The sequence below is a fragment of the Homo sapiens genome, chromosome 4, assembly GCF_000001405.40.
Source record: "Homo sapiens chromosome 4, GRCh38.p14 Primary Assembly".
Taxonomy (NCBI): domain Eukaryota; kingdom Metazoa; phylum Chordata; class Mammalia; order Primates; family Hominidae; genus Homo; species Homo sapiens.
In genome coordinates, this window is record NC_000004.12 from 80,206,087 (window position 1) to 80,219,782 (window position 13,696).

Here is a 13,696-nt window from a genome sequence, read left to right on the forward strand (position 1 = left end):
CAGCTTTACTTTCCACTGAGGATTCAGACAGGGATGAAATGAGGTCTAGAAAAAGGTAAATATTGCTTTTTGATATTGACTTCGTTATAGGCTGGAATCATATTTTCTAAAGAGTACGTATAGACGCTTTGCCACGAGTAGACACTTGGTGAGCCTCCCCTGTGTTTTCTTTTGTACGGTCATTAACTTAATCATAGGATCAGGAAGAAAGCCGAGCCTTGGCTGAGCTACTGCCCAGGCGATCCAGGTAGGTGTGTTAGTGGCAGACAGTTTCGGGCTGGGTAGCTATGTTGTTCAATCTGTCCACAAGACCATTTTGGCGGGAAGTAGTAGAGGAAAGGTGCCCAAAGCTACTTTTGCCTTCAGCCAAGGCAAACTCAGAAATGTTTTATTTTAATGCTGCATTTTCAAGTTTCAGAAGTATTTCATAACCTTCTCCTGTGTCTGAACCTTCTCAGAGGGGAGTTTCTAGGATTTTATAACTTCATCCGTCTGCCAAAGTAGTTGAGGTCACTCACAGCTGAGGAGGAAATGAGGTCACAGGGTCATGCAAACATCAAGCCAAGTTGGTCCCACGACGTCCAGGGAGGTGGCCAGGCTTCCAGTGCCGGAACCGTAGGTCCTAAAGACGGGAAATTGAAAGCCAAGCGGTTGCTGCACCAGCATTTGTTGCATCCCAATCAGTGGAAGAATGTCCAGGACTGACCCTGCGCTTGGGGCTACAGAACTCCAGGCATGTCTGCCCAGAAGATTCCGACTCCCTGGCCTCATTTGCCTCTCTACTTCTCCGAGGCCTTTGTGAGTTGGGGCCACCTGTACTTCCCAGGATGTGCTTGCAGGGTACAGCTTACGCCCACAGGCATGTGGAAACCGGAAGGCCCGGGAAGGGACGCACACATGTCTCTTTCCAGGCCTTGGTGAGCCAAAATGGAAACCGGACGCTCTTCGGGAAAGTTCCCAAGGTCCCAGAGGCCCACTCATAAGCTCTGCGGCCGTCGACGCCCAAAGCCCCGCGTATTGCAGCCGCAGTCGTGCGCGGGCTAGTTGTAAGCACGGGTGTGCGGTGTAGGAGAGGGGGGTCTCTCTCCTGGGGTCCTCACTGCCGGGCTCCCAGCCCCTGCCCCGCGCTGCCTGTTCTTTAAGTTTGTTTTCTTAGGCGCCCTGCCCAGGGAACATGACCCTGAACGGGGACCCCTTGAACACCCAGGGCCAGTCACACTCAGAAAAGGGCTGGGAAACGCAGTTCTCCTCCTCCGCTCCAATTTCGAGGGCAGGATCTCCGAGGCAGCCTCTCCGCGCGGTCCGGCGCTTGCCATCTCTCTCCGTCGCCAGTCGGCCTGGACTTTCCTCCCCACTTCTAGGGCGGTGCAGCCTGCTCAGGTGCAGGAGAGCGTGCGCCACTCAAGCGCTGGGGCCAGAAGGGAGATGCAGCCAGGACGCGGAGCGCCGCGGAGGCTTGGAGTGCCACGAGCATCCTCAGGGAGGTGTTAAATTTTCTCTTTTCTTCTCCCTTTGCCCAATCCCGTGTCCTGGAATCAATTCTGCTCATTCTATGGTAGCTTCCCTCAGCTCCTCCTCACCTCCACACTTTTCCGTTTCTCAAGCGCTTCTGGAGCTTTTCGTCACCAAAGGAACTTTCTGGAAAAAAGTTCCTTTGGTGACTCTTCACCATCCACTAGGCAACTGACTGCTAAGGTGGCGGTACCAGTCCAGAGGGGGAATGTACTGCTGCGCTGTCAATTAGCTGGGCACTAGGATGACCCCAGCACCCAGGGATTGAAAGAGATGGGCAGGCGCCAACGCTCTCCCGCCCTCAAATGCACACACACTCCACACACCACACACACCACACACCACACACCCACACAAACACACCACATACACCACCCACACACTCCACACGCCACACACTCCACACCACACACACCACATACACCACATACACACCACGCACACACTCCACACACCACACACTCCACACCACACACACCACACACACACCACACACACACACCACACACACACACACCACACACACATCACATACCCACACCACACACACACCACATGCACACACCACACATACCACACCATACCATACACCCCACACCACACACCCCACACTCACCACATATACACACCACACATACTACACACACCACACCACACCACACCACACATATACACATACCACACACACCACACCACCACACATACACACCATGCCACACACATACACACACACCACATACGCACACCACACACGCACCACACACACCACACATCACATCACACGTACAGACACAACACACCACACATGCACACCACACATACACACCACACATATGCAACACACATACCACACACACAGCACACACACAGTACATACACCACACACTACACACATACACACACAACCACACACACCAGACCACACATACACTGTCCCCCGCAACACACACACACACACACACACACCCCCAGCTGCCTCCTGAACAGTTTCTCCCAGCTTGGAAATTTCATTTTTTTCCTGAAGGTGAAATATGACCTCAAAGGGGTGTAGAAAATTTAGCCTGCCCAAGAGCTAAACTGGGATTGGGGTGAGAAGGTGGGCCTTCTCACTCCCTTTTCCTCCTCCAAATGCATTTTATTTGACAGAAGGCCCAGAACGTTGAGGCAGTAACATATGCCTCAGGCTGGTGGGCCTGAATGATTGCCTTCTAGCTTTGTAAACTGGCTGGGCAGCAGCTGCGGAGCTCTTTGCCTCTGCTTCATGAATCATATTCCTAAGGCAACCTCTGCTTTTCCCACTTTAGATATGGAACTTAGAACGTTTTAGAAACCTGTATTCTCCAGGCCTAGTGAATAAAGAAACTGAAAAAAATTTAATTCTTTTATTTTAATCTTTAGGATTAGAGGTCTGGTACAGGTGTTCTGTTTGAATAGCTAACCTGGTTATGCTCATTATTATTTGCTTATCTCTTTTCAAGTTGTGTGTGAGCATTAGAATATAAATCTATGCATATGTGCAGGCATGTGCATATGTGTTCAAATATGTAAGTATATATTACAAACTGATACACATATTTATATATACAGACATACATAAACATTTTAATCCACACACAGGCACATAACTGGCAGGCGTTATTCTAAGTGCTTTTCATGTGTTTACTTGCTTTAATTCTCACAGCCTACCCAAGGGCTACTGAGAATCCCACTCCATCATGTTTCAGCATTGTGTAGTTAGTACGGTTGTCACTCTGAAACAGAAAGATGAGAATGTGATAATGTAATGAAAAAATAGTGACTCTTATGTCAGGAAACCGGTTCCAAATTTTGTGGCCTTTCCATTTATTTATCTTAGTTTCCTTTACTTGAACATGTGAATAATACCACCTGTGGGCTTATCACATAGCGGTGTCTTGAAAAGCAAATATAATTCTACATGTAGCAGCTTTTTGTACTATTGAATATGATTGACTCCCATGTTGGTAAAAGAGATATGCTTTTAGCCTCAACTTATCTTTCTCAGGTAGTCAAAATGCTCTCATACCTCTATAAGAAATCTTTTGTGACCTTGACTTACTTTAATGATCTTTTCTCATTTTTAACCAGAGGTGGGAGTAATCGCTGGTTTGATTTTGTGGTTGTTTATGTAATTACTCAGGATTTTACTCTGTGCCTCAAGCTTACAGGAGAGTCACTGAAAAAATGTTTGATACATAATATCATGTAAGCCTATAGGTTCATTCATGATATATATATATACACACACACACACACACACACACACTCCACACACACATGCACCCCACATAAAACTATATATATATATATATATATATACACAGTTATGTGTATATAACTATATATATATATTTTAGTTGGCTTAGCTGTAATAATCTTAAATTATAAATACAGCGTGTTCCTAGTGCTTAAAAATTGTAAGTCAGCCTAATGCTAAGGATGGAAAAGGCTATAAGAGGAGTTCTAGATATAATTTGCCATGCTGTAGAAAGTATGGTTACAATGCAGGAGAGAAGCTTATCCCTTTTCCTAGTTACTATGTAACAAATTGCACCTTACTTAGAAAGCTACACTGTGCTCAGTGCTTAATGAAGACAATGTTCCCTCTACAGATCAAAACGGATCCCTCACTCCAGCTCAAGCTTTTTCCTGTTTTTAAATGGATCTTTAAAAATAATGCATGACTTAAAAAATCATAAAGAACTCTAATGCTGCTAAAACATAGAGACTTGAAGAATGCATACAATATCTTGTTTTCCCAAATTATTTAGAGAATAAATTCTTTAAGTAAAAAATAAACAAGGAAGGAAGGGAGGGAGGGAGGGAGGGAGGAAGGAAGGAAGGAAGGAGAAGAGAAGAGGGACGGAGTAAAGAAAAGGAAGGAAGGATGGAAAGAAGGAAGAGAGAAATTGGGAAGAAAAATAATCATGGGATTAATTTATCTAACTTTTTGTCCCTTTACTTCTTTTCCCACAAATGTCCAGCCACCAATTCCAAATTCCTCTCATACTGTTTTTTTTTTTTTTTTGGCATTTTCTTTGGAGAAGAGCCTTACTGTGGGTTTCAGAGTAGAAATCCATAAATCAGTCCCACCGTTGACTAAGATCTCTTGTGCACACCTGCTTCGAGGATTAAAATCTGGACAGGCATACCATGATTGCACTTTTCTCTGAGGATTCATCTCTGGGTGGGTGTGTTGGTGTTATACTATTGCCTGTGCCACTTTTTCTGTGTTTTGTTATTTTTTTGTGAAGTGTGAAACTTTTTTTTTTTTTAAGCAATTGATGACTTTTTTCTCTCTCAAACAAATGAATAAAGTCCTGTTTTACACTCTGGCAAAATTTCACTGGGTCTTTGAGAAAGACAAACAGAGCCAAACAGTGACACCCAGCCCCCAAATGGATGCAAATCATGTAATTAGAAAAATTTTAGTATCCATAGTGTTCAGTTCTTCTTTAGGCTAAGAGGTCCAGCGTCAGGGCTAAGCGAAGGAGGAGGAAAGAAAATAAAGGAAATATTCCTGCAAGGTCCTTCCTAGAAAGATAAGAGTTAGCCTTCAGGAAGGAGTAAATTGACTTTTTCATTAAAATGCTTTTGTAGACAGTGCTAGTTTAACTATTTGCTTTAGCAGGGCTAGGTGGATAAATGGTGAATGCCATGAAGCTTATTTTCAGGGACATTCGATCTGCTCCCTAAATTCCATCTCAGAACCTCCCATTTTCAATCGTCTCTTACCTTTAGGCTCTCTTAGATTTCCCTGAGTTCTATCCCCTCCAACAAAGAGGTAGTATCCAAAATTGCCACCTGTGTGAATAAACAGCAAAAAAAAAAAAAAAAAAAAGTCTGAATTTACATGAAGGTATTTGCTTCTCCATTTGCTTTTTAAAGCTTAATTTCTAATTTTGGAGCAGTCTAAGTAAAGATGAAGGATCGATATGCAGAGGTACTTCTCCACCAGGGTAATAATGCCTAAAACTCCTTCCAAATCAGAGGTATTTGACTTTGAGGCTGCATCTGAAAGTATTTATTAAACCTCCAAACATGCCTAAACTTAAAGCCAGGGAGATATTTAGGAAACCTAACATTCAAAAATCTAATTCCAAGCATAGTAAAGCTAATAGCATGGTAAAACAAGTCTCATCAAGTTATATGATTGCCAGCAGCTCACATTTGAATTTCTTAAATCCTTTAAATATTCAAAATACATTTATTTATAACAACTCAGAAATAGAAACTTGGAATTTTAGATATATATATTTCTCATATATATATTTCAGATATATATATATATATATATATATATATATATATATATTCACAAGTTACTCTCTTCTCTGGGATGGGGGCTTTCCTTTGAATACATTTCAGGAGAAGAAATTTAAAGTTTAATGTACAATTTCTGAGTGCCTGTCATACTGGCTCTTTACAGCAGCCTGCTCGAAGACCCAGGCACATGGCCAAATAGAAAATCAGATAAGGATGCTAAAAAGAGGGGACCTCTGGCAATGACTTCCCCATGTTATTGACTCCATAAGAAAAGGCTCAAAAAGAAGATAATTTCCCCCAATCCTTCCATCCTCAGAAAATTTTATTATAAACCATAGATAATAAGAGCTCACAAGGAAAGAAAAAGTAATACTATCCATAGGACACTGTAGAGTTAGATCACACAGGGAGAGACCTTTCTAAATCACCAAGGTAGCTGTTAAAAATGCAGTTTCCCATAGGCACCCTCAGAGATTTGATGAATCTTATGTGGGACCTAGAATCTTGCATTTTCAGCAACCAGCACCAGATGATTTTAGAGTAGGTGGCTCTTGATCCTCACTTTTGAAACACCGAAGAGAGGTTAGAACTAGCCCTATGATGACTTAAATTAAAATGTAGGAGTACATCAGTCTAGAAAATAGCTATGTTCCAGAAATATGGACAGTAAATTGAATTATGTTGTTGTAAATACAGACTTTTAAAAAAACTTCATTTATGTTCTATCTTTGTTTCAGATTGATTTTCACATTTTACTCCTCCTTGCCCACTCAAGTTAGGGTCATTAGTAAGAACAAGAAAAATGTAATTGCATGAGCAAGTACCTATTCAAGAAAATGTTTAAGCTAAATCTTTATGGAAAATATAGTGTGCATCTACCATCACCCTCTGAGGAATTTGCTTTTTATTTTTTGGATTTTTTTTTTTTTTTGGGATGGAGGTTCACTCTTGTTGCCCAGGCTGGAGTGCAATGGTGCAAACTCAGCTTACTGCAACCTCCACCTCCCGGGTTCAAGCGATTCTCCTGCCTCAGCCTCCCAAGTAGCTGGAATTACAGGCGCCCGCCAAAACGCTGGGCTAATTTTTTGTATTTTTAGTAGAGACGGGGTTTCACCGTGTTGGCCAGGCTGGTCTTGAACTCCTGACCTCAGCTTATCCACCTGCCTTAGCCTCCCAAAGTGCTGGGAATTTTTTGGATTTTTACACATTCATTTTCTAAAATTGTTTCACAACTTATTTGTATGTGTGTGTTCACGAACCTCACCAATTCAGGCTCTGACATCAAGCTCCCAAGAGCTGTCTGAAGCTATGTTTTTCAAATGAATAATAACAGCAGAATTGAAAACTCTTGAGCTAACATTTTGCTCTCAACTCCAGCCTGCTAGTCAACTACTGCTGCTTCTCTGCCAGCTGATGACTGCACGGAGGCTGCCACTTTCTGATGGTGAGTGACTCTAGGCCTCAAGTGATTCAGACGCCACTGACTCTTGCTGCAGAAACTTTTGGTACTAGGGAAACAGACTCTTCCATTCACTTCACGTCACTTAACTTTCTACTGCAGTGTCCATTCACCTAGGACTCAGGCCTGAGTCTGAGGAGGTGGGGCCAAAGGAGCACCAGGTATAATGCAGTATTCACAATCACCCATCAGTTCTGATGTTGCTTATTATTTCCAAACACAATAAGGGCTCTTGGAATGCAACCCTTATATAAACATAGCTGTGATGATCCTGCCTTCTAGATGTGTCAGCACATGCCTGAAAGAAAGAGTAGGTGCCCTCTAATTCTGGGGCCACGGCTACACAGTTGCTAAATAAAGTCTAAAGTCCACACAGTTGCTTATAAGCACAAAGAATCCTGCTAAGAAATTAGATTAGAAGTCAGATTAAACATTTATTCTCATTCTGCCTCCACCATTCTCCAGCTGTGTAACCTTGAATGAACTAACTTCTCTAAACTCCAGTCTTCTCATCTGTAAATGAGAGAGTTAGATGAGATCAGAGATTCTCAGACTTCAGAATTTGTAATAATTACTAGGGAGAGTGGTAAATAGGCTTGGCTCTAATTTCTGGAGATTCAGAATGAGGGCAGCAGTGGCTAGGATACTGATTTTTTTTTTTTTTTAATAGGGACTCACTCTGTCACCTGGGCTAGAGGGCAATGGTGTGATCATAGCTCACTGCAGCCTCCAACTCCTGGGCTCAGGCAGTCCTCTGTCTCAGCCTCCCGAGTAGCTGGGACTACAAGTGCATGTCACTGTGCCTGGATAATTTTATTTTAAATTTGTATAGATGGGGTCTTGCTTTGTTACCTAGGCTGGTCTTGAACTCCTGGTTTCAAGCAATCTTCCGGCCTTGGCCTCCAGAAGTTCTGGGAATTACAGGAAAGAGCCACACTGCACCTGGCCTGTGATTTGCATTTTAATAAACCCTCTGGATGATTCTCTAACCACGTCTGGGAAATATTTGTCTAAATCAATGATTATTCATTGTGGTCCTATTAGAAACATTTAGAAAGTATTAAAAATATACTAGTGACTGGTCCCTCTCCAAATTAATTCATCATAATATCTGGGTATTTTGTCAGGGCATTGCTAGTGCCTCAAAAAAATCTTTGTGCATCAAGGGTCAAGAATCAGTGGATTAAATAATCTATAAGAACTTTTCTCAGCTTTTGAATTACAACTTCCAACCTAGCATTCTTGGTTCTATATCACAATACGTCGGTTATAAATGTGGAGTATGCTGTGTATGCAGACTTGCTAGTTATTATGAGCTGAATTATGCCCCTCCCCTCACCCAAGTTCATATGTTGAGGTCTTAACGCCCAACACCTTGGAATGTGACTGTATTTGGATTTAGGGCCTTTAAAATTAAGTTATTGGTTGGGTCCTAATCCAATAGGGCTGATGTCCTTATATGAAGGGTAGATTAGGACACAGATAACACAGACAGAGGGGCGACTATGTGAGGATACAGTAAGAAGGTGACCATTTGCAAGCCAAGGAGAGAGACCACGGAAGAAACCAAACCTGTCAACACTTTGTTCTTGGCCTTCTAGCCTCCGGAATTGTGAGGAAATGAATTTCTGTTGTTTAAGTCACCCAATATGTGGTATTTTGTTATGGCAGCCCTGAGAAACTAATACACTAGTCAAATAGTTCACTGAAACCTATCTTACTTTGAAGAAAATAATGTTCGTCTAATTAGTTCAGAAACAACATATCTCTAAGTATCGACATAAATACACTAAATTAAAGGCTTAACTATACAAAAATAAGTGATTTTGTAGTTTTTTCCCCCAAAGTCATGATTGAAAACAGGTTATGGAAATAAGTAATGCCTTTTAAAATATCATGATCTAACCTTGAGGATGATGTTTTAAATAAAAGGATTAAGAAAGAGCAGGACTAGAAATAATTTCAGTGCTTTTCACTACCAATAATGAATAGCAAACCCAATTTCAATTAAATCAACAAACAACTACCAAATGTTTAACGTTATCTGGTAAGATATAATGTAAATTTTAATTATGAACATATATGAAGCAGAATCTGTTATTTTAGTTTTGATGCCAGGTTTTTATAAAACCACCCTGTCTATTCCCCTCGTATATCCCAATTTCTTAAGTGTCTTCCTTAAGGTTTCCTCAATCTTAACTTTCATCGTATCTATTCAAAGTAAAAATACTAGAGATCCATTTAAAATCAGAGCCCGGGAAAGAACAAACTATTAAAGAAAAAGATATATTGCCACCTAGTGGAAGACAGGCGGAATCATCTTCTTGTAATTCAAGTTTTAAACCACAGAATGGTTAGTACAAGCAATGTTTTTAAATGGTTTTTGATAGTGTGTAATTATGCTTTGTTATTTAAAAGATGTCTTTCCTGTTTAGCTGCTAAATCACTTTTAACTTTTGAGTTATATATTTAGCAATCACTTAAAGGTATACGCTGCTGCTATATATATTGAGCAATAAAGTTGAACATAGTCTTTCTCAAAAACATTGAGCTAGAATGCTAAAAACACTTACAGGTAATTCTGAAAAATATTTACCACCCACAGAATGTCAGTAGTATGGTAAACAGCCAATGTAAACATAGCTGACCAAACATTGGTAAGTCACTTCTCTGGACCTGTTTCCTCATTTAAAACAATGGGGTTACACTATGTAATTTATAAAATATTTTCAATTCTAATATAATTAGATTAAGTAGTTATAATATACACTTATATTTATTATGTTTTAGGTCTCTGTAATAGTTAGGTGAGTGACCAAACTTGGTTTAGAAAGTAGTATTGGTGAATTATTTGGTGTGTGTCCTTGAAATAACATTTCAGCATAGAACTAAAAGAAGTTTATTAATGGGAAGGAACTTCCTATCTATTTATTTGGTTGCCAGGTTTCCAGAGTTTTTTTTTCCATGAGAGTAAGGTGACCTGGCTAATTTTAACTTCAGCAATTACACTCTATCCAGCTAAATTATCCTTGCAACTTTTATTTGAGTATAACATCGTTTATTGTTTCCTGTCCTAAACTTTTAGGAAGTTGTTATTAACTGATTTACTCTTGTTGACCTTTAACAAATACACAGGATGATATTAACTACTGGTAATTCTATAAGAGCCTTTCTTTCTATAGGCCAGGAAAGGAAAGGGGAGTTTAAAGATACTTCCCTTTTAGTTGCCCTTGGTATGTCCCAAGAATGTCACAATCCTTAATTAGTTAACCATATGATGTGCAGGACCTCTGAAAAGATTTTATTTCAGATGGTATAACGCAAGGAGCTTAAGTTATCAAATTGTTCTTGCTCCAATTGTTGGATACAATTTCCTTCTGTACAGTATTTAGAAGTGTCACCAAAAGACTTCCCTTTCAAACAGAATGAACTTAATGTGAAAATGTCAATAAGTCTAATAAAAATAAGGAAGCATGGTAAATTAGTAGGTGTCTTGAAATACTACCGAGAGGAAGTTTGCTATCAGCACTCAACTTTTAAATAATTAGTTGTGAGAAACTGCATATTATAATACATGATCATTAATAAAATAGAGTACTTAGAAAAAAATTGATATCAAACTTCTGTTTGAGGCTTTGTCCAGAGATAAGACACACAGGGAGGCTAATTATAATATTTCTAGTAACTTTTCTCACTTTTTCCTTCTATCCTATCACCACACACACACACAAAAAGAAAAGAAAACGAAAAAGACAAAAAAAGGTTAATTTTTCAGTTTACATTTATTCTGAATAAAGTTTGGAAAAATAAATTTGGAATGAAGTCCCAAATGTGAAGCTGGAAACTACCCGCCTTGTTAGAATATTTTAACTGCTTCTCTCAACTGCATTTTCTATACAAATTATATGGTCATCAGATTCAACTAGTTTGAGAAGTAAAAGTTTCCATTTATAATGTGAAATACTCTTTCTCCTGTCAGCTTGTGTAGCTGCCTCACATCACTTTCATTATCCGTGGCACCAGCCTTTTATATATTGTCTTCAAATTATTCAGGTAGGTAGCTTCAGCAATTTATATACATTTATATATATATATATATATATATATATATAAATGTATATAAACATGCAGTACCTCTTTTAAATATATATAAAATAATGCAGTACCTCTTTTAAATATATATTTATATATATTTTATATATATATAATTTGAAACAACAGTTGGATGTGACTAGAACAAATTGAAAGTAATCACACATGTCATTAGAGAAACAATTTCTGTAGGTTTCAAAACCCTCTTAGATTGACCTATGTCTTAAATTTCAACATAATTTAATATATCTGTTCCTTGAACAGATACATATGTCAACTGATTACCATTATCATTCTCTTTAAGATAGCATTATTTCCTTAAATTGTATTGGTAGCAGTACCAAATAACAAGCATAATGATGAGATGATGCCCTACCTAGTAATCTGTGTTGGTCTCTTTACTGTTGCTTATACCACAGTACCTGAAACTAGGTAATTGGTAAAGAAACGGAACTTATTTCTTACAGTTGTTGAGGCCGGGAAATCCGAGGTGGATGAGGCACATCTGGTGAGAGCTTCTTGCTGGTGGAGACTCTCTTTGGTGGGGCGTCACATGGTGAGGGGACTGAGCATGTTGATGTCCTTGCTCGGGTCTCTCTTTCTTTTCTTATAAGCCACCAGTTTCCCTATCATGATAACCCGCTAATCCATTAATCCATGAATAGATAAATCAATTCATGAAGGCAGAACCCTCATGAGTCAGTCACCGCCTCTCAGTACTGCCACATTGAAGACTGAGTCTCAACATGAGTTTTGAAGGGAACATTCAAACCATAGCATAACCTATAATTAAAATATTCCATTCCAGTTAAAGAAGGCATTCTAAGTGGAGACCTGTGGAATGGATACTTTAAAAGGTAACTTTGTTCTGACTTTATTATTTTTTTTTTCATTTTATTACTCAAATGCACATTCATTTGATACACATTTCAGGGAAGGTGAATTTAGAAAGTTAAAGGATCTTTGCCATGGTAAATGAGAAGAGATTTCTGAAGTTATACATGTTAAATTTCATGTATTTTCTGTGGCTTATAATAGTAAGAAGCTGTAGTGTAATGAAGTACTTTGGAAATGCTGCTGGTACTCAGAATTTGGAAAGTGTTAAGATGAAAAATGTCTAAGAAACATAGGCATACTAAAATGCTTTTTTTTTTCCTGGTAAAATATCAGTATGCTTAGGTATAAAATGTTTTATTAACCCTCAATTGTATTGTATGCACTTATAAACATGCATGATAATAAGCTTATTTATATTCAACCAAACATTTATTTGGCAAGCAGCCGAGGATATTCTAGTGTTCTAAAGTCAAAAAAATGCCTCAGAGATTCAAAGCCTTTTGTTTCTTTTTCAATATCCCAAAGCATAGCAATTCTTTGTCTTCTTTTTGCTGCATTCTAAAAGTATATTAATTGACAACCTACACAAGCCACCTGAAAGCTTTCTATATCTACATTAAAAGCAGATTCTTCATTTGGGAATTATATTTGATATCTTTAATATCTTTGTGTATTTGAGTGGATGTATTTGACTTCTAGGTAGACTGAGAAAAGTCACAAGTGGCAGTTTTTGTTTTGTTTGTTTTGTTTTCTTTTTAGTATAATACATTGGTGGGACAGAACTTGCTAAGTCGGAGTTCAGAATTATTGGTTAGGCAGCTAATAAAAATGATTATTCAGATATTGAGAGTCCTGATGGCTTAAGGAGTGACCACTGCCCTTCTTTGCCCCTCTAGACTGTCTTGGGAAGTAGAACAAAAACAGGTACAGTGGAGTCAGAAAGACCGTGGCACTCCCTGTACCATTCAGTGGTTGTGCTCTGTTGGAATGAGTGCTGTTGACAAGTCGCCTTACTTATCTGAATCTCAGTTTTCTTCCCGGTAAACTGGAATATTGACAACTATATATGGTTGTGGTAAAGATTAGAGATAAAATATGGAAGTCCAAGTCAAATGATAGGCTGATAGGCACTAGATATATTGAATATATTATTTTCATAATCCTCCTCTGTAGGTCTTTGTGAATCTTCCATTGCCTTGCGGTTTCTAAACTTTAGGGCTATAAACCCTTTTGTTTGTTTTGTGAATAAAAAGAGAGGTGTTTCCTGTGTTCTTTCTGTGCAGTAAAGAAGATGTTGGGAAACTATGAAAGGAGATGTCCTGGGATACAGCTTGTTCATTTTCATGAAACTGGTAGGTGGAAAATTAACTAAGACAAATCAACTTGGGATGTGAACCATGGGCTCCTCTACTCCTCAGAATAGAGTCCTTATTTTCCCCAAACATCTTGAGTAAAAACCCATTCCCCCAGACTCGTTTGGAATCTCAGCACTCAGGAGTTCCCTTCCCTGGT